Source organism: Homo sapiens, chromosome 20, assembly GCF_000001405.40.
Source record: "Homo sapiens chromosome 20, GRCh38.p14 Primary Assembly".
NCBI classification, from domain to species: Eukaryota; Metazoa; Chordata; class Mammalia; order Primates; family Hominidae; genus Homo; species Homo sapiens.
In genome coordinates this window covers 42,233,313-42,255,647 of record NC_000020.11, presented here as the reverse complement: position 1 = coordinate 42,255,647, position 22,335 = coordinate 42,233,313, and the positions used below count along the sequence as shown (strand labels likewise).

Below are 22,335 nucleotides of genomic sequence, written 5' to 3'. Positions count from 1 at the left end.
TGCCAGTCCCTTGTTGCCAAATTATGTTATTGCTGCCATTAAGTCATCCAGATGCAAGCCTGATATGGGCCTTGCCTATATGAGGAAAGTTAAGTGAATCACTCTAGGGGCTCTGCCTTTATCCTGAGGATCGGATGAACTTAGGTAGCAGGTTACAAGGAGGCATTGCCTCAGCCTCTATGACCTACAGTTCATAGACACAAAAAACCCTAGTGCTACCCTGGATCCAGTGCTAAGGTCACATCATCACTGTGCCCCATATGTGAACAGTTCCTCAAGAGTTTATCAAGCATTTTTCCCTCCATTATTACATTTGATTCTTAGAAAATCCCAGTGTGAACTTGGCATTTTCTAATTATTTCATAAATGAGAATATCAAATCACATTGCGGTTAACAGGTTTGATCAAGGTCACACAACCCATTAGTGATGGCATCTAGACGCAAGCTTGCATATTTCCAATGTGAAACCCAATGCTTTTGACTAGACTCATAAAACCATAGCATCTCGACATCAAAAGGGGCATAAGAAGTCTTGTCGTCCCTTCTGCTTTGTGGGGAGCACAGGATGTTCCAGCCAGCTCTTGTCCTTGTTGATGACACATTCCCCTGCCTTTGTGGGTAACATGGGGAGGGTCAGGGTGAGGGGGTGGGAATGGACTGCATGGGAGTCTCATGGCTCTAAAGATAATAGGGATAATTTCTCTCACCAAGAGTATGAGTATTACTGGAATTAAGGGGAACCAAGTTGAGGTAAAAGATGACGTCAGAGAAAAAGGTCAGCATCCTGTAGACATGAGGTCCTCAGGGCTTAGTTGTGCATCCAGGAAGCCAAGGAGATGAGAACAGAGACAGAGTAAGCAGGTAAAATGAAGGGCTGACTCTGATGCAGGACTTTGGAACCATAATGACCTCATCCTCTCTCTAACATGATGCCGCATTGAAAGGGTCTGGGCTTTAGCCTTAGCTGATTAGCTCTTCCACATTCAAACGTTTCCTGTGTTGATTCCTAATCTACCCCCTGTCACTTCTACCCAGTGATACAGCTCTGAGCTTTGAAATTAAAGGGACCAAATCTACTCCACCTTCCACAATGGCCCTTTATCTATCTAAAGGCAAAAAATAGGTCTCATCTGAATCTTCCCTTCCCTAAGATGAAAAATCCTGATTCAGAGTGATGTACCTTCAAAGTCAATAATCTCTGGAACATTGTGCATCTCAATCAATGTGTACCTCAATCATGTAGAGACCTTGTTACAATGCAGCTGCTGAGTTAGTAGGTCTGGGGTAGGGCTCAAGATACTGCATTTTTTATAGACTCCCAAGTTTCGCCAATATTCTGGTCGATGGACCACTTTTTGAGTAGCAAGGCTCATGGCCTGTCTTCACTCTGGAGGTCCCTGTTGAGAGGTTGGGTTCACAGCTGGACAGGACTCACCAGAGCATTCTGACCAGTGCAGAGTAGAGCAGGGCAGCACTGCCCTTGTTAGGTCTCAGTAATCCTTGGGGAAAATCAGCTGGGAGGGTTGCTGGGTAGCATGGGAGGAGGCAGCAGAGAGAGAAAACATGGCAACTAGACCCTATGTATGGAGCTAATATTGAGGGAGGGAAGTAGAGCTTAATAAACCAAGGGCCATGCCTTGTGCACCAGGTTTCCATATGTAAGAGTAGACAGGTAGCACATATAAAAGCCAGATTAAGACTCTGGGCTGGAGCTAGGAGGAGACTGGATCCTTAGCCATCATGGCATTTGGGGAAAGAATAGACAGCAGGATGCAGCAGCAGCTGCTTTGAGAACTGGTTCAGCCTTTGGGAGTGCTCAGAGCTCAGAGGACACAGTTGGCTGTGCCGTCAGGTCAGGCTTGTGAGGCTTGCAGCATGATGTTGGAGAGGGAGTCTCCTGTCAGTACAAGCTGAGTTCACAAGATTATTTTTGGTTATCACATCACACAGGAGACTCAAGTAGAGCCTCAAAGCTTCCCCAATTGGAGAAATTTATCATCTGGTGCCTGCCTAGATGCCAATTCTGATTTGCTTGGCCTATTCTCAGATTGGGTCCTCTGGAGGGTAAAGATGAGGAAGATGCACCCAAATCCCTCCTCCTTCTCCCAGTTCCCAAATCCCCAGGCCCTGCTTAATAAAACAAAGTCACCCAGAGTCGGAGACAGCCTTTTAGGGACTAAGGCTGATACTAAGCCTGACTCTCATGGAAAGGATATGCTTGGGGTAAAAGTAACGCAGGTGTTATCCCACTGAAGGGCTTCCAGTGGGATAGCCCTCTGAAAAGTCCCTTTCGATTTTGGGGCCACTGAGTCAGACAGATAGCCTTCTATATGGACCTACTGCTGGCATCTGTGGAAAGCGCACCACATTGCCAATGGCCCCATCAGTAGCCAACCCTGATGTGCTTTTTTATGACTCCCATCACAGGTCACATTCTGCTCCACTGAGCATTTAAGATGTAATCCCTGTGGCCACACCTGACTCTGCCACAAAAGCGGGACCCTCCCATCCTCTGTCCATCCCTCAGATATGGGAGTCACACGTGGATGCTGTCTTGCCTTTAGTCCATTTCCTCTATCCCTGTATCACCTTTGAACCCTGTCAACACACTTCCACTATGAACAGAGGCACAAATATCCAGAGTCTAGGGCAAGTTCCCCTAAAGAGTGCCAAAGGCAAAGCTGGATTTTCCCTGTCCCAGGGAATGTTCACGTTCCTGTATCTGATGTCTAGTTAGACCAACCAAGCATGGATTTTTCTAAAAACCTCCTGTGTAAAGTCTGTGATTTCAGCTCTGCTGCCTGTTGGCTGAACTCATTGAATTCGTCTAAACCTCTAGGCTCTGGACTTTCAGACAGCCTCTCCGAATCCCCTGAATGTTCTTCTGTGGCCCTCAAGTATGTTCTTTTGTAGGTTTATGGTCGTTGCTGAAGCTGCTTCTATTTAGGAATGTCTTGGAATTCTTTTGGGAAAATTTTTCTAATACTCATCCAAGATCTTCACTTTCCTTTGTGTGTGGACTTGATTCTACCCTGGGAACAGCCTTTGGCATAGTTGATCATGCCCTCCTTTTTGAAACATTCTCTTCTCTTGGCTCTAGGATACTACACTCTCCCAGGTTTACTTCCTACCTGTCTGGTCACTCCTGTTCCCCATTCAGGCTTATCTCCCTCTACTCACTAAATACTGCAGACCCTCAAGTCTCTATTCTAGGTCTGTTTCTCCTTCCACTCTTTATTCTTTCCCAGGGTGATTTCACCAACAGGCCCCCACGCTTCAAATACCATCTGTGTACATATGACTCACACATTTTTGCCTCCAACTCTGACCTTTAATTTAGAGCTCCAGATCGCATTTTTGACTACATACTTTGCTGGAGTATATCTCAAGCTCCAGTTGCCCTAGATATATTTTCCCCCTAAAGCTATTCTTTTTCCATTGTGTCTGGAACCCGTAAACATTACCACCATCCACCCTATCGTGCAAAGATTTGTGGTCATCCTTGACAGTTCTTTCTCCTTTATTCCCCATATCCAATCCATCAACAGATTTTATCTATAACTATTTCAAGTAATTGTCTCTTTTATCACATCTGCCTATCTTCACTGTCATCACCTGAGCCTAAGCAACTATCAACTCCCATCTGAATGCCCGCAGTAGTCTCAAAACTCATTTCACCAATCCACTTTGGTTCCACACTAAAGCTGGAATGATCTATTGGAAATACAAATCTGACCATATCATTGCTCCTTGAATAACACTTAAATGGTGCCCTGTCTTCCTTTGGTTAAAGAACAACAGCCCTCATTGTGGCCAGTAATATCCTGTGTGGACTCATTCATGATGCCCTCTTCAGCTTCTTTTTCATCTTTCCCTCCTTGCTTTCTTGCCCTGGTTATACTACATTTCTTTTCTTTTTTTTGTTTTTTAAGTACAACAGGGTGCTTGCCCCATTAGGCAAGGCTATTTCTCCTGCTGCTCCCATATGCTGCTTTCATGGTCCCTTTGCCTGGTTACAGCCTGTCTTCCTTTGGAACTCACCCCTATTAGGGGTGAATTGCTCCAAGAAGCAATGCATTTTTTTTAATTATGCAAGTATCTATTTACAAGTGCCATGTGCTTCTCTGTTCAAACCTTAACAGGGTTCAAGTTTGCTATTACTGATTCTTGATTTATTAATTATATTCCCCTACCCCCAACCACCACTAATTGTAGACTCTTTGAGAGCAGGAACTGTTCCTGTTTTGCTCACCACTGTATCACCAAATGCCTGGCACATAGAGGGTATTTATGATCACTTACTGAAGGAATGAAGTATGAGTCTCATTAGACCAAGCTAATAGCATTGTTCCTAGAGTAATAGGATCCTCTCTAGGGGCTCTTTGCCATTGCACTCCTAGTCTCTAGAACAGGACCTGGTAGCAGGCACACTAAGTAAAATTGGGCTGTGCCAGTGAGTGAATGCCCCAGAGACAACCCTTCCTCCAAATCTAAATAAAAAGACTCTATCAATATTGAGGAAATTTGGATCTGAGATTCTCCCCTTCCTTTATGCTTGCTACATTGTGGATTAGCCACATCTCAGAAATCATGTCTCCAGCCTGGGAAATGGGGGCTGCATGGGAGCTCCTCAGAACCAGCCCTCGTCCCCCCATCCCTAAATGTCAGACCAGCCCTGCTGAAGAGATGGTGGCCAACTCTTTCAGGAATTCTCTGGGCTGTAGATGAGAAGAGTCTACTCAGTCAGCCCTGGAATTTGATGAGTTGGTTTTGCCATTAGCTTGTGAAAGGAATGAATAAAATTCCTCATCCAGAAGTCCTTCTAGGAACAGAATCTCTGACTCTACAGACAGCATAGTTTAGCACACAGCACATGGCCACTCAATGGCAAAATAATGAATGATTGAATGGATAAATAAAGTCCACAACTGTGGTTCACTCACCCTCATATTATGTTATAATTTATCTGTTAAGCAGCAATGATGAGGAGGGAGGCCTGTGCTAGACACTGGCATTAGAGAGATGAATAGGGTGACTTACCATTCTCACTAGAGAGACTTGGCCAAGTAAACCCAACATGTCTAAGTTACAACAGCTTGGGGAAAGTGCTCTGAGAGAGGAAACACTTAATGCTCTTAAGCAAAAAAAAAGGGGGTGCATCAATGTGCTGGAGGGCTTAAACATCAGTGCATTTTGGGAATCAGGACCATAGCTTTTGGGTAGTAGCATTCCTTCAACTCAAGACTCTGCTGAGTTCTATGAATAAATGACTTTAAAAAGGAGAAAACTCAATTTGCTTCCATGAGAACAAATGTGTGTGGGCAGAGACGTCATCCTTTTAGCTAAACACTAAACAACCACAAACATTTAGGGAGCCCTATTACCAGTCAGAATCTGTGCTAACATGGGAAAACTAAGATAAACGAGGCGTAATCTTGCCCCTGAGGAGTTTGCAGACCACTGGAGGAGACAGATGTGAAAACAAATAACTAATAATATTGGTGCATTGTAGTAAAAGATATTGTGAGGCATGTGCAAAGTGTTATAAAGTGTTAATAGAATTTAGAGAAGAGGGAGAAACTCTCCCAGGGGCACAGGCTCAGAGAAAGCGTATTGGCTGATGAAGAGTGAGCTGATGTAGATGTGGAAGAAAAGAAGGAATGAGTTAGGAAGAGGATGGTTTGGACTTTAAGCTGCTTCCCACTTAAAGGCTGGCGCCAATAGGAATATAAATAGAAGCAGGAGGAAATTCACTTCGGGTGCTGATAACCCCTGGACTACTCTCTAGAATGTCTGAAATAAGATGTTGCCTCTGATCCCTAGTACGTAGCATGAAGATACTGGTTCTTGGCATTCTTTGCCTGCTTACTTTGTTATGGCATAAGCAGAATGGTTGTTTTAGGGAGAAGGGATTGAGGAACTAGATGACTTGAAGGGATTCAGGGTTTCTGACCACTGAGGTCTAAAATTGGAATCAGGAAACCTGTGGAATTCTGGCCCTGACCTTTATCAGCCATGTGACTTTTAGCAACTTCCCTTGGTTTTCTCATCTATAAAATGGGAAAATCAGTATCTCGTCTACCTTTGGGAATGTTTGTGAGGACTGACCAGGCCAGATCCATGAAGTTACCCAGGATAGGGCTAAGGATGTATAGTAAGTGGCCAGTGACCTGCCTCCTCTACTGAGGATTGTGTCAGCAAGTTAACACCTGGTAGAGCATGTTGCATTAGTATTAAATGCTAAAAATGGAATTGATCAGATTTAAGTGTTTTTTTGAACCCAAGGTGTACTCAAGTTCCCTTGAATATACAAACTTTTTGCCCTACCATTTGTTCCCTATAAAGAACAAAACAAAAACCTCTTTTTATCTTTAAAAATCTAGTTATTTAAATTGTGTTGCCCCAAAATAAAGCTGTTATTTCCACCATTTACCTGAAAGAATAATGTAGGGTTAGGTATAATTCCCAGTGTTCCATGGTTTGATCCTAGAGACAAAGCAATATGAGAGAAAAAAAAATCTTAACTTGATTTGCCTTAAGGAAAAGAATGCTTCAACACAGTTGCCCAAGTGAGAACCTAAGGCAACTCACTTAATTTCTCTGCATGTCAGTTTCTTCATCTCAAAAGAATCTAATGATAATCCCAACCTCACAAGGAATTGGTCCTCAGAAGTTATTAAATGGGACAATGTATGTGATGCCCTTAGCACAGTGCCTGGCACATAGTTAGCACTCAACTAAAGGAAGCTGTTGTCATTATGATGATTGTCTAGTCGCATGTTTGGGTGCTTTCAACATTGCTATCCTTCCCTTTCCCTTCCTAGGTGCCTCCACCCAGAATTCTAACACTGTGGAGCCAGAGAAGCAGGTGGACAACACCGTGAAGATGGCTGGCGTGATCGCTGGCCTCCTCATGTTCATCATCATTCTCCTGGGCGTGATGCTCACCATCAAAAGGAGGTGAGTCTCTGCTGCTGCCTGCAAGACTCTGCTGACCCGAGGTGACCTCAACACTGCTGTGTGGCCAGGTTTTTGCTCTGTTGATCATTGTCCAGCAGGGATCTTCTGTTATAACCATTGAGGTCCGGAAATACATGGGCCGGCTGTGGTTCATTGTGTTGCTGTTTGAAGGGTGCATGCTGCCTGTTTGGCAGGTGGTCCTGAGGTGGCCATTTTCTTATGGGCCAGTGATCCCTATGACTGGGCCACCGCGATGTGCCATGGGATTCCACGTATCATGAATTGAGTCTTATAGGAGTTAACTGCTGTGTTGTTATCAATCATGTCATCAAGATAGCTCGGGAGCCCCAGGAACATGGATCAGTCCAGAAACGCAGTTGCAGGAAAGTAATGTTTTACCATTCTCACCTCCGTTTGCCCCTGATTTCCACTGGTCAAATAATAGCATCCCAGGCTGCCCTCTCCATGAGAGATAGAGTCTACAGTGGTGTGAGAGTTCCCAATTACAAGTCCTATTACAGGCTCTGTACTATGTCCTGTCCCACAGAACCTTCCCAGCTGGGTTGCTGTTGTTTGTCACCTCTCAAAAGCATGTCTCCCTGGACTCCTTTGGCCAGCTACTAGTTTGCTCATACTGTGTGTTTTCTCCAGTTGCATTTCTCACGAAAGCATGCACACAGATTCCTCCCTTATTTCCAAGATGTACTACACCAGCATCCTCTGTTTAAGAGGCATTCACAAGGCTTGAGGATAACACAAGGAAATTACAGAGGGAAGAAAATACAAAGGGTGAATATCAGCTATCCCTGTCCACAGGGTGCACTGGTTATTCCTCTAAACAGAGAGTCTTACTCGCCCCTCTCCTTAGCCCCTGCCTGCCACCATGTTAACACATCTACTTCCCACCTCCACGTCTTCTCAGTTTCAATGCCAGGGCCCCAACCTTAGTCTCTACCTTCCCACTCCTCAGTCTATCATAGCAAACAAAACATTTATCCACATTATAATACTAGGTGGTGTATTGTGCCCTGCTCCCAGGCAAAAGAGCCTTCTACATTATTAACCAAACCAACACCTCAGCCTGAAGCTCTGGGTTTGCTTATGCACAGAGTTCAGGGCAACCCCAAGAACAAGGGCTGGGAACTTGCTTCCATCTATAGGATGAAAAATGCTCATCAAATGTGTTTCCTACCAGAACAAAGGAACAGAATACCCCTAACAACTAATTCCAGCTCCTACCTTAGGAACCACATGAATATAAAATGAAGAATTTTTTAAAAGCAATATCCCCATTTCCAGCAATCAGTGATTTAGAAATACTAGGGTCCCCACTACACATGCAGTCAACCCTCTCTTGGCTATGCAAGCCCCAGGATGTCCCTCTCTCTCTTTCTCCTGGTTCTGCTTTGGATCAACCATACTAGCCTCTGGCCAGGGCATTAAACTGTGAGGACATTTCTTCTTGACATTTTTCTGTCTAATAGGATCATGTCTTGCCTCAAGCTCCCAGCACAATGGCTTAAGAGCTAAGGTTCTCCTCCATCTACTGATTTTCTGGTTGGAGAAACTAGGGGTAACAGAAGGTATTATGTTAATATTGGGGGTGAATAGCCCTCAAAGGGTTAAGGTCAACACTACATTGTCATATCACCATCATCACTGATAACACATGGCCACATTATATGTCCCAGTGACTAGTCTGCTGCTATTACATAGGGTAGTATATGACTTTTGATTTCTCTGGGAGCAGTAAGCACATTGTACATGTAAGATCACTGAAATGTTTCTTAGAGTTACAGATGTATTAGAGGCAGAGGTGAAATGTTTCTTAGAGTTACAGATATATTAGAGGCAGAGGTGAGTTTGGGATTGTCCACCCAAATTAATGGAACTGAATACCTCTTTGATAGACCTGAAATTTTATTATTCTTTGCCACTGATTTGTAAATCAGATATGCTCTTCCAATTTTGCTCTTTCTAAAGCCTGGCTTAACCCACGTCACCATCATCTGTGAGATTGTGAAGAAATTTCACTTCCTTCTCACAGCTATTTCTGAAATGTGTGAGTGTGACTTTTTGGGAGGGAGGAAAAGGCTTTATGTTTCCAGGGTAGGAGCAACTATAAAATAAGTCCTTTGTGGTAGTTTTAACCTCCTCTGAGTATCTTCATCAACTCTCATGTCTATCAAAACTGTCCATCAGACCCAATCAACAGGCATCACATGATCACCATTTCTCCCCAGGAGGCAAAACCTGGGCATTGCATGTTGTGGGGTGCTAATCAGTGTTTACATATATGGCATCTTTTGAAGAAAATAAGACATTTTGTTGGCCTAGTTGATTGGAACAGTTTACAGATGGGAGGGGAGGGTAGGAGGAGAAGAGGAGAAAATGGGGAGGAAGAGAGAAATTGAACATAGGCCTGCACTCTTTCCACTAACCTACAATGTCTTCCTGTGTCTAGAGATGCCCCAAAGGAAAGCGAAATTCTGTGTACCTCTTCTGTCCCCAGCTACCCCCCAGCTGCATATATATATCAATATATACTACACTGATCAATTGAGTCTGCTACCAACTTACTGTTGGCCAGAATACTGTCTACATCTACCTCAAAGGAAGATGTATTCAAGTCAAAGAAACTTCCAAGTAGCAGGCTCATCACCATAGCTCAGGATACTAGTGTTAACATCTCCTCAGTGTCCTATCATCACCTACAGTGCTTGGACTCAGAAGTTCACAGAGGCCAACACTGCTACAACCCCTCCACTGGCTTAAGCTTGCCTGGGTCTTCTCCCTGCCTTCCCTGGTCATGGACATGGTTACTTTCCGGGGTTTTTTTTCTGCTCCTAATAGATTCAGCTGACTCAAAGCCCCCCTAAAGCTATAACCACAGATGTTTCCAGAAACATAAGATGTCCCCAGCTTCTCCCTCTGAAGGTTTGTGATCACTGACTTTAGAGCTTCCTTGCCACTGTCCAAAGAGAGTCTTTCTCTTCCTGTTAGGGGTTTCCTTTTATGACACAGAACTAGAAGACAGACAGAGAATGGGCTTGAGATCCATGGATGAAGGGAAGGGTTTAATGAAAAAAGCTAAATTAATTTATATTTAGACACCTGAATACAAAATAGAGGAGGGAAAAGAGAGAATATCAACAAAACTTGAGAGGTGTTTTGTTGTTGTTGCCTGGTTTTGTTTTGTAACGGGGGGAGGGAGATCTTGAGAAACGAAAAGGAGAAAGGGATATGAGATGTTGGTGGGTGATTTAAATGGGATTCTCTTATAGTTTGAAAGAGAAGCAAGTTAAAGTTTAGAATTCTTTTTGCATTACCTTTGGCTGTTTGAACTGGGCTGTATTGAATGTGGAACCATATGGAATTAGGATTGCATGGACATAAACAGGATGATATGAGCATTATAAGAAGGGATCCTGGAGCCCCTCACTGACAGAGTTAACTACCAGTGTGGTTTTAGCCACACCAACTACACAATATCCATCCTTCTGCTGTCACTAGATAGTGGCTCCATCTTTTTCCTCTGGATCTGTCGATCACATCTAGAGTTCTGAATGTTCTGTAATGGGTACCCCATGTCATTATGTAGTAAAATGTACCTCCTTTTCATGAGTACCATGTTAAGTCCTGACATAAGAGAAAGACCTTCATCACTGACTCAGCACTGCAGTCCTGATCATCTTCGTCCCTTGCCTCCTCCCCTTAGAACTGTTAGACATCCTCCCCACTCCTCCAAAACCAGCAATCAAGAGGTTGCATGACCAACTCTATGTTTTCTTAACTTAATACCATGGGGCACTGTGTGCCTTTAATGCAAATTAAGATGAAAAGATCAAGTATTATTGCCTTAACCAGCATGTCTCAATAGTTGAAAGTGTTCATTAGCCACTCACATATGAGAAGGTCTACAATTCAATGTTTGTTTGTGGAGCGTGAAATTATATGTATGCGCACACAAGTTTCATATAGCTCGATTTTATCCCTTGGGACACACTTCCTGGAGTCTGAACATGGTCCCTTAAAGCTCAAAGCATGGCCATGCACTTATGCATAGGGAAACACCAAAGCCAAGTTATGCAGGACTTTTCACAAGATCCGCACCCCTGGACTTGCCTGGATCCTACACTAACCCGTCCATCACATTTTAATTTTCAAATGAGAACTAGGAAATTTTAGGGAGGTATATTCAAAGTTGGTACCATCCATGGTTCTAGCCAGACCCTGTCTCCTCCCCTGCTCCCCTGCCCAGCTCGTCCTAGTCCAGCCTTAACCTTTTGCCAAACTTTCCTTGTCTGTCCAAATGGAAACTTCTGTTCCAAGAGTGTATTTGGAGTGTCTTGAGTATAAATATGAATGTCTATTCTGATATTTTATATGCATCTCTGGTTATACATCAATTCTCTGTGACTTGTACCTGCCCTCCAGTAGCTCTCAGTCTAATGGGACAGAGAATCAGAAAAACTGGCCCCAAATTTTTAGTCCTGTTTATTTGCTGTCAACCTTGCAGAAGCAACTTAACAAATCTTAGCCTTTGCTTTCCCTTCTATGAAAGGTAGCCAGTTTTATGGGGCTATTCTAAAGATCAAATGAGCTAATTATTGAAATAGGCTTTGTTCCCTGAACCTGCTTAAGGAATTACAATGCACAATATCTACAGAAACATTCATCTCCACATGACCATCAACTGTACCAGGCCAGCTCCAAACCCGTTACTAATATGCTAATGGCAGGGTTGCAATCAATGCTCACACACTGACATAATTTGCATCATTTTTCATTTAAACTGCAGCTATACTCTGATTTTAATATTCCTAATAATCATAGTAGGTTAGGTCTGTTGCTTGTTTGAAAAGAAGAAACTGAAGTTCGAAAAGATCACGTGAGTTGGTGAACGTTTTGGGCAGAGTTGATGTGGAAACCCAGTCTCAGTGTCTCTAGAGCTCATGCTGCTACCTTCTACTCTGTCAGTCCATGGAGACTGACAGGAAATAAGCAAATCCTGGACTAAGAAACATGTGACTCAGATTCGGTACCACTTTCCTCTCTGGGGCTTGTTTTTCCCAATTTCGCTATTTTCTTCTTTTGAGCATGCTGTTTCCCTGAATGAAATGTCCTGAGATTTCTCTTAACCTACAAAGTTCCTATCACACTCTGACTCTCAGCCTCTTGTTCTTCCTAGTAGGACTCCCAAATGTTACCATCTCAGCAAAGCCTTTCCACCAGCCTCCTGCCCCAGGAAGATCCAGTGATGTTCCTCTGCAGCCACTGTGCCATACATGCTAGTCTTCATTTGTGTATTTATCACACTACCCGGTGGTTGTAGTTTTGCTGGCCTGAAGATCAGTCTTCTCTTGTTAGAGCTCCATTATCCATATCATCTGCCCCTGGACATCTACCTTGAAAATCCCTCAGGTATTTCGTAGTCAAAGTCAAAATCATTACCTACTCCCCAACCTGTTTCCCATCTCATTCACAGGCACTACCTCCTATCCCATCAACAAACAGATGGGATTCCAACACCCAGGATTCTCTACATTCTCTTGGTCTCATTCTCTCTCTCTCTGTCTCTCTGTCTCTGTCTCTCTGTCTCTCTCTCTTTCTCCCCCTCCCTCCCTCCCTCCCTCCCTTCCTTTCTGCCTCTGCCTCTGCCTCCTCTTCCTCCATTGTCTTTTCCCTGGGTCAGACCTCTATAGCCCTATTGCATGAGTTTCCTCACTGACCTTCCTAACTGTGCCCCACCCCTCTAACCTATCCTCCATACTGTAGTCAGCATTGTGTTAAAAAATAAAGCTCGTACTCTCAAACCTGTCATCTGAAACCCTTCAATGGCTTCTTCTCCATAGCCATGGTTCATGAGGTGGAAGTGAGGGAAGAAGTACATGTCTAAGTCACCTGGGGAACTTTGTCAAGTGATACTGTCTCCCTGCCCATATGGAAACAAGTTTCTTAGTTCTTCTTAGCTTTTTAGTTTTTCTATTTTTTTCTTAGTTTTTCTGACAAGTCTCCTAAAGTCTCACCTCTGCTCCATAAGTTTTGCTTACGAACTTTCTTCTTCTTCAATGCCTGTGTTTCTCAGCTCCATGTGACCAGCTATTACCCATGTTTAAGGACTAATTCAGTAGGCACTTTCTCCTATAAACCCTTCCTGACCTTTGATCTGGACAGAATCTCTTCACCATCTAGATCCCCTCTGGGAGGACCCATGTTATTTTCTGCCTTATACTTTTCCTTTGTATTTGCATCCCATTTCCTCACTAGACCATCAGCTGTCTATTCTGATTCATCTTCATCTCCAGTGTGCCTTGCAAATACTGAGAATTTCCTAAAAACATGTTGAATGGGAGAGCCCAGTGGAATTAGAACAGATCAACTCTCTATGGATTATACAAGAGAGCTTCACTCAGAGAACAGACCTAAATGTCAACATTAAGCATTAATGGTTCGTGCACCAAGTCCTGTGGTAGGAGGGTGGCAAGGCAAGGCTGGAGGCAGTATGTGGAAGACATGCCATGGTCTGAGCCTTCAGAGAGCACATTGCCACAAAATTTTGTTTTGTTTTGTTTTGTTTCTGGGTAGACAATCAGAAAAGCTAACTCAGGCCAAGCTAAAAGAGCAGTGCACTTTATTAAGGGTACTACAGATCAGAAAACTGAAATGGAAATAGAGTTTAAGGAAATTACCTGGAATCACATACCTAATAAATGGCAGAGTTGGGTCTCAAACTTGGACAATCTGATAATGGAGTCCACACTCTGAAACATCATCTAATCTGGATTAAATATAAAACAGGACCTGCTGAGATGCCAAATTCTGTGGCATAATTTTGAGTGATTTATCGAGGTGGGAAAAAAGCCCAAACGCCCAAACAAAATGTGTCATCTTCTGTTCATCCTGTTCTAAACTGCTCCTTCCTCTACACCTGAAAATTGAATCCTGCTCCTTCTGCTTGCACTCACGTGGACAGCCACTTAAGCTGAGAACTTGGAAGTCTTCTTCAATACATTCACATTTAATCACCTTTTGATTTTGTGTCTTAAACACCTTGCACACTGCTGACCTTTCTTCCCCATCCCATGGCCACTGCAAAGGAAGCCCCTGGTATTTCTTGTGTTGGCCAGTCAGTGATGGTGTAACCACATTCACTCTGCCTTTGACTTTCTCCTCACCCTCCTGCTAAAAATAATTCACCTACAAGAAATATTTGGCCACATGACTTCCTGGGTTTTCCCTGTGACCTATGGGACTGAGACCAAGCTGCTTAAACTCTTTGGGAACTAGCCCTTCCAACATCTTGCCATTCCCACTTTGTTAACCCACCTGCCCAAACCACAAACACAGTTCCATCTACCTAAAAATTCCCTTCCCCTCTCCTCCATCTGACTTCTCTTTTACTTTACCACTCAGGCATCCCAGATTTTGGGCCATCTTGCCTGCTTTCCCTCCTCACTCCTATCCCCAGGTATGGACTGACAGCTCCATGTGTTGCCTTATCATACAATTTATCATGACAGAAGATAATACAATGTAATAGCTATTAATACAGGCTCTTTAAATCAGACTCCCTGGATTCAAATCCCTGCCATGCCACTTAACAACTATATAAATGTGAGAAAGTTCCTTAACCTCTCTGAGCCTCACTTTACTCATCTGTAAACAGGGATAATAATGCCTCATAAGGTTATTGTGAAGATTAAATAAAATAGTTCATGCAATATACTTAAAACAGTACCTGACACATGATTGATCTCCCAGTATTTAAGTGACAGCTATTATCATCTGCTTTATAATTTGCTAGTCTGGCTCTCTCATCAGACATATGGACTAGATTAGGATCTCATATGTCTTTCTATCTGTACTTGACAGAGATAAGGATATAGTAGGCCTTTGAGAAGTTTCTGCTGAATTAATGATGGAAAGATGGATAAATGGATGATGGGTGGGTGGATGGATGGATGGGATGGATGGATGCATGCATGCATGCATGCATGAATGCATGGATAGGTTCATGGATGGATGGATGGATAGATGGCTGAACAGGTGGGTTTGTGATCTAGATGGATGGGTAGGTGGTTAAATGGGTCGTTAGATAGACAACTTTGTCCTGTTTAAATTGTATGGAACAAAAGAAAACTGTGCCTGAAGTCAATCTTGTGAGCTAGCTGAAAAAAGGTTCTGCAGTATGTGATTTATTAAGTTTGGGGTTATTGTTTTGTTTTGTTTTGTTTTTTCTAAGCACAGCTGTCTTCCTGCTCAGGATTTTTGGTTTCAGGCAATCTGTTACTTGCAATATCACTGTATCCTTGTAAATTTAGACCTTCAGTAAATCTTCTTCAAGGCTTAGAGAAAAACACACATGTAAACTGTTTTGGTCACAGAATAAAGACCTGTGATACTTGACCTAGAAGACTTTGCAGTTTAATTGGGAAAAGAGATTCAATTAATAGAAGTTTGTCAGTTACCATTATCCTGGAGTTGCCTTGCTGCTGGGTCAGAGATAGCACGAGAAGGCTTTTGGTGACACCCAGGATAACTCAGAAAAGCAACTTGGAAAAGGTGGTCTGTGGTTTGAAGGTGAAGAAGGAAGCATGTTTTCTTGGCTCAGGCTGAGGTGAATCCTGAAGGTTGACAGCAGAAAAACTAGAAGGTCCAGAATGCTCAGTGTAGCTGAGGAGGAGGTGGCTGCTGACAGTGAGAGCATCCAGCTCAGGATGGAGGCCTTGCAACTGGTCCAAAGATACACAAAGCCTTTGACCTAGTGAGGCATGGACTTATAATCTTAGATTCCTCAGCTAACCGTGAGAGTAATTATATCTGCTCCTCAGGGTTGTGGGGAGGATTGAAAGAGATAACGTTTTGACATCCCAGTGCCTGACTCCCCAGATTTCTCAAGATATATCCATTTTCTTCTGTCCTTGAAAGCAGCACAGGCTTGAGGTCAAGAACATGAGCTATGGGCTGGGCACGGCGGTTCATGCCTGTAATCCCAGCACTTTGGGAGGCTGAGGCAGATGGATCACGAGGTCAGGAGATCGAGACCATCCTGGCTAACACAGTGAAACCCCGTCTCTACTAAAAATACAAAAAATTAGCCAGGCGTGGTGGTGGGCACCTGTAGTCCCAGCTACTCAGGAGGCTGAGGCAGGAGAATGGCGTGGACCCGGGAGGTGGAGCTTGCAGTGAGCCGAGATCACGCGCCACTGCACTCCAGCCTGGGCGACAGAGTGAGACTCTGTCTCAAAAAAAAAAAAAAAAAAAAAAAAAGAAAGAAAATGAGCTACAAGCTTTATAGCCATGTTGCTATCAAATCCAGTTACTAGCTGTGTGATCTGAAGTTACTTCTTGTTTGCCTCAGTGTCTCCATCAGAATAGTGGGAATGGCACTAATTCCTATCTTTTAGAGCAACTGTGAGGAATACATGAGTTAATGTGTGCTAAAGCTGAGAACAATACCTGGCACACAGTAAGTGCTGAATAAGTATTTGTTCATATTTTATTATTCCTAAAGAGGTGAACACTTTGTTCCTGGTGACCAGAATAAGAAGCAGTAAACCTTATCTCTGTGGATGAGGTGCAGACATAAGCCACCCTTTACTGAGCCCTAATACATTCCAGATGTTTAGATTAATATAATCTAATATCAATTTAGATTAATGGAATTTACATAGAATACTTTATATATTACATATCATATCTAATGTGAGTATAATTTAGATTAATATAATGCTAATGCCTATGGTGATTCTTGGGAATACATAATTATTGTCCCCAAGCTTGAGATAGAGAAACTGGGACTCAGGGCTGTTTAGTGACTTGTTCAAGGTCATGCAGTTAGTTAAGTGATGGTGCTGAGATGCTAAGGCTTATTGTATTTCCACTCCTGAAAGCTGTTTGAGCTGTCGGTCATCTATGCCATCCACCTTGGTGCATGGATCAGGAAATAGAGGTCCAAAGGGAAGAAGAAGAACTTACTTGCCCAAGATGTCACAATGAGCAATTGAAAGATCTGAGATTATAATGCTGGCCTCTTGATTCTCAGCTCAGTGTTCTTGACAATACAGAGAACACAGGTGTCCTATAAGTCTTCATCAAATGGACCCTGAGTTTTGTGTCCCAGGGGAATCACCTTCCAGGCACTGGACCTGCCAGCAGTGAGGTAAAGAAATTATCTCCTTACAGTGCTAACGTGTATGGCTGGTGAAGGGGATTTGATGACTTTCTGTAGGAGCTTCCAATTCCCACTCATTGCAGTCCCCAGTCCTTCACCTTCTCATCATCTAGGGTCACTGTTCTTTCAGTCCAGGATATTGAACAGTTTTCTATGTGGCCAGATCTTGCTGCACTGTGGCTCATTTTCCCTAGCTCAGCCCCCTAAGGAGGTATGGGGCTTTCCTTCTTCTGTGGCTTCTTAACTTTTAGACTCACTTTCCTTCTGGGTGTGTAGGGTTGGGCTTTGCTTTAGGAGTGATGCAGCTCTGGGCTCATGTCCCGCCTCTATCATGCACTGGTTATAGAGCCTCGGGCAAATTTTCTAAACTTTTTGATTCTCTTTTCTCTTAATTATAAAACGAGGGTAATGGTGCCTGACTCACAGAGTTGCTGTGAAGAGGAGATGAGATGATGAAAGAAAGACTAGAGATAGCCCCATCTTGGGAGTTTTGGATATTTCCTACTTGAGATGGGAAAATTTGGGGCTGTGAAGACGTATCCCCCACTCTGCAGTTATAACGACTGTATTTTCCTGTACCAAGCAAATGGGATAATGGTTGCAAGTAATCAAATAGTTCAAGAAAAAAGGAAACCATTCTTGTCTACTCAGATGGATATTTGGAGACCTGAATTATCTAGCCATTTTTCTCAATCTATAAATGTATCATTTATTGTCAGTATAGCTGAATCTGATGTGAAATAAGAACACTCCTATTTATTTTCTTACAACATAAGAAAAGTTATAACAAAGGGAATATCATGCTTTTATTTGAGTTTTGTGATTGCTTAGAAGCCAGGAGCCAGTAGGAACATTGGAAAGAGATTGAAGCCAGTGATTTTTGAAGCTTTCTTTTGGAGAATGGAATTCTCAGCCATATGATATCTTAAATGAAACTTCAAAGTATAAAATAGATAAAACTTCAATATATAAAATAGGTGCTTTGGTGGATGGTGGGGGGCAGCAGCCTCACTTGCTCAGTACCCTCCTTCTTCATTACACAGTGGCTGCTATAGAACCCCCAGACTTCTGTGAACACAGTTGGAAAATTACTGATCTAGTTTAATGGACCTAAGGGACAGATGCAGAAATGAAGGAACAGAGAGTTTATTCAAGGTAGAGTCTGTTCAGACTGAAGGTTGGAACTCCTCTCTCTCAGTACAGTGCTCTTCCAAGATAAGGTTGGACTTTGCGCCGGTCATCTACTGCCATGTAACAAACTACCCCCAAAATCTAATGGCTTAAAGAGCAACAGTTATTTATTTTTCTCATGTGTCTTCACTTTGGGCAGAGCTTGAAGGGAATGACTTATTTCTGTTCCGCAATGTCAATGGTCTCAGCTGAGATAACTTGGTTGGCTGAAAGTAAAATGGCTGGGGGCTGGTGGGACATTTCTTTCTTTTTATGTAGTCTCAGAGGCTCTCCTGTGATCTCTCCAGCATGGTAGCCTCAGGGAAACTGGGCTTCTTCTATGGAGACTGAGGGTTCTAAGAGAGAGTTATGGACAGAGCTGAGAGGCTTCTTTTTTTTCCCCAGCTTGGAAAGTCCCAGAACATAATTCCTACCACATTCTATTCACACAGGGTCAGTCCTGACTCTGTGGGAGGGCAGTCCACAAGGGCCTGAATACTAGGAAGTGCAGATCACTGGGGAGCCATCTTGGGTACTGGCTATATGATTTCCTTGCTTTGGGTATGACCTTACTAAATAGACTCTGATGTGACTTTATCTGAAATAGAGGAGACAGAAGAAGTTTGGTGTTGCTTAGATCACAGGACATTATCATAGGGAAGAGTGGTAGACTAGTCCCAGGAAGCCACAGAGAGCTGATCCAATACCCTCACCTGCACCCCGCCGACCAAAAAAAAAAAAAAAAATCATAATTACAAGGAATCTAGTTTTGGTTGACCATAAGGAAGAACTTTGAACCAACTACAACAGCCAACATGAAACATGGCTTACTCTATGTGAGACCATGGGTTTCCCTATTATAGAAGAGGTCTCTCTTGTTTCTTCTACCACTGGAAATATCTGATTCTCAGTGAAGATGATTAGTAGAGGAACTTGCATCTCCTTGAGCTTAGGGATGCTGAAATAATATGTGCATTTCTAAGAATCAAGATTTCATTAAAAATCTAATTCTTGTTTGTTTGTCTTTTCTTTTTCCCCCATTTTGGACATTTCCTTCATCTGACTGCCCATCAATATATAGAAGAAATGCTTATTCCTACTCCTATTACTTGTAAGTATCGAGCTGGTGTTAACTTTGCTTCGTGCCCTGTAAGGGAACCTGTAGCATGCATTTCCTGCACCAACCAAGTGTCTGTTAGTTTCTCATTTTCACTTCTGTCTAAGTTGTCTGTAGCCTTAAAGTTTTTATTTTGCATAAATGTGTTACATTTGAAAGTGCACTGTCATTGTTCAAGTTCGTTATGTTTCCACCATCTTGGATTTTTTTCCTCTTATTTTTAGAGATGTGAAGGGCTGTTTCTCCTTTGTGAGTGTAATTTTCTAGTTAGGAATCCCTGAATTCCATCAAGCAGGGGACCAAATCCTGCTGTAGGACTTGCACACATGAGACAGAATCACAGTCTTAGCAACTTCTAAATCCATGTGTTTTTACTTGGAGAATGGGTAGCCCTGGGGGCTCAAAGTTTAGAAAGGTATTCATTGGCTGTTTATGCTATTTCAGAAAGTCTGCAGGGATTCATTACTTTATCTAGAACCGGCCTCACAGGTGAAAGAAACATCCAGTGTCTTTGCTTTGGGTTGGGATTATGTGTTTGGTGTTTAGCATTATTTATCTCATATTATCAGTGCATTTTGTTGGGAGTTATAGATGGGTGCTTGCTTATCCATTTTTTTGCACTTGCTAAAAAAAAGTGATTATTTTTCTTATTAATAAAACAGAGGGCCAGGTGCGGTGGCTCACGCCTATAATCCCAGCACTTTGGAGGCCGAGAGGGCAGATCACCTGAGGTCAGGAGTTCAAGACCAGCCTGGCCAACATGGTGAAACCCCATCTCTACTAAAAATACAAAAATGAGCTGGGCGTGATGGCAGGCGTCTGTAGTCCAAGCTACTTAGGAGGCTGAGGCAGGAGAATTGCTTGAACCCAGGGCGGAGGTTGTAGTGAGCCAAAATCGTACCATTGCGCTCCAGCCTGGGCAACAAGAGCAAAACTCCATCTCAAAATAATAATAATAATAATAATAATAAATAACAACAACAACAGAGATGCTCAAAACATGATAGTAAAGGAGAACAACTCTGTACAGTAGATCCTTGGTGATAAAAAGTTAGAAAGCCCCTGAACTAGTCCACATTCCTAATATGCACTTTCTATTTTTGGAAATTGAGAGGTTGTAGGGACCTTAGAAAGAGATTGAAGGATGTGAATTCATTGAACATCCAGCTAGCAAAAGAGTGGGATTAAAACAGAGAATGCCTGGCTTCCGGTAAAATGTATTGCTTAGCGCTCCATGTCTTCCCTCACCTCTGGCAAACTCAGCTTTATGAGAGAGGCTGTGCCTAATAGCATTACCTGCTGAAGGCTTCATAGATAAAGATGGAGCCAGCAAAAGGCCTCCCCATCCCCTCTGCTCAGTGTGGGGTCCACAGGTCTTTAGGACGGGTACTACCACCCTCATGTTATATGGGAACAAATGGGCCCCCATCACCAATACTGGAAGTACCAGATCACTTATTCATTCATCCCACAAACATGCTTTGAACATGCACATTATGTTTCATATGGTGTGGATGAAGAAATGGCTAGAACCCAGAGGTTCAGCCTCACAGTATGCAAGCCTATCTGAGAGACTAGCATAACGTCACCTATTAGAAACGTTAGCTGAGAGATGCCTCTACATACTGTAGTACAGGAACACTTAGTTGAGTGATGAATTTTTTGTGTGGCAGGGGATAGGTATCAGTGTATTCAGAGATGGCTTTACCCATTACTGAAAAAATTAAAATTCTGATTAGAGGAAACTGCATCTGCAAAGACACGGAGGTACGAAACAATATGGTGTGTCATTGCTATGGTGGAAAGAGAATGAGCTTCAGGAGTGACGCAGCTCTGGGCTCATGTCCCGCCTCTATCGTGCACTGGTTATAGAGCCTTGGGCAAATTTTCTAAACTTTTTGATTCTCTTTTCTCTTAATTATAAAATGAGGGTAATGGTGCCTGACTCACAGAGTTGCTGTGAAGAGGAGATGAGATGATTTTGTAAAGTGCCTGGCACAAAGTTGACACTCATGAAATATTAGTTTTCTTTATTTCCCCTTTCAGAAACCACAGGGTTCATGGCAGGAATAGTAGTCCCTGGGAGCCCCTCTCTTCTTCCAGGGCCTCTTAGGGTATGCATGTTTCACAGCAGATGTGGGCATACAGGGACCCATCACCACCTCTGGCATCTAACCCCCATCCCTCTATCAGCCAGTTTGCCTATCAGGGTCTTTGAATGCCCACTTTATACAGTGCTGTGTGCTGGGTGCTGGGGTGGAATCCAAGATAAGCAGTGTGAAAGGACAGAGGATGGATCTGCACATACTTGCAGTTGAAGGTGCAATGATAAACACAGGCCTTTCAATTGGTGCAGACATGAAGTTCTGTGCCACAGGTCCCAGAGCAGGAAGCTCATACCAGCAGTGGGATGCAGAAGCATCTGGATAGGACACAGGGTTTCCATAATTATATTCATTTTATATTCACCAACCCCAAGGCCCCCATGACGGTCATATATTGTATGCCACTGCAAATAGCCTGCCTTCTATACAGAAACCTTAGGTGGTTACATTTCCTCTTAAGCACCATCTTCCCATCCCAACTACCACCAAGCACTTGTGATAGATGAACCAGTTGCTAGACTTAAAGGGATCGAACAGGTAAGGTATATTTAATCATTTATACAGGAGGGGAGAATAGGAAACCACCACCACATGCCAAGTAGTCTGTACATACATTAGCCCACTAAGTCCTCCGAATAGCCTAGTCTGGTAGGTACCATTATCCCTATTTAATGGGAAAGAAATTGCTCTGAGAAGCTAAGTCATTCCCCCAAAGCTACCCAGAAGTAGATGGGAGGGAGAATTGATTATCCTGGAAATGGAGACGTCTTGGGGTGAGAAATGGTCATGTGAGTCATATGCATAT

General features: G+C 43.1%; 1 protein-coding gene across 11 annotated transcripts in view; it reads left to right on the top strand.

The window, feature by feature from the left end:
* Positions 1-22,335, top strand: part of PTPRT (protein tyrosine phosphatase receptor type T) — a 1,158,017-nt gene that overhangs the window by 934,259 nt on the left and 201,423 nt on the right. For 6 of the 11 annotated variants that reach the window (NM_001394025.1, XM_047439846.1, XM_017027611.2 and 3 more), the window contains one exon: positions 6,826-6,961. In NM_001394025.1, coding sequence (NP_001380954.1) covers positions 6,826-6,961 — 136 coding nt within the window. Of the gene's footprint in view, positions 1-6,825; positions 6,962-19,389; positions 19,420-22,335 lie in introns of all 11 variants that reach the window. The other 5 variants (XM_047439848.1, NM_001394024.1, NM_007050.6 and 2 more) reach the window with 1 other exon arrangement.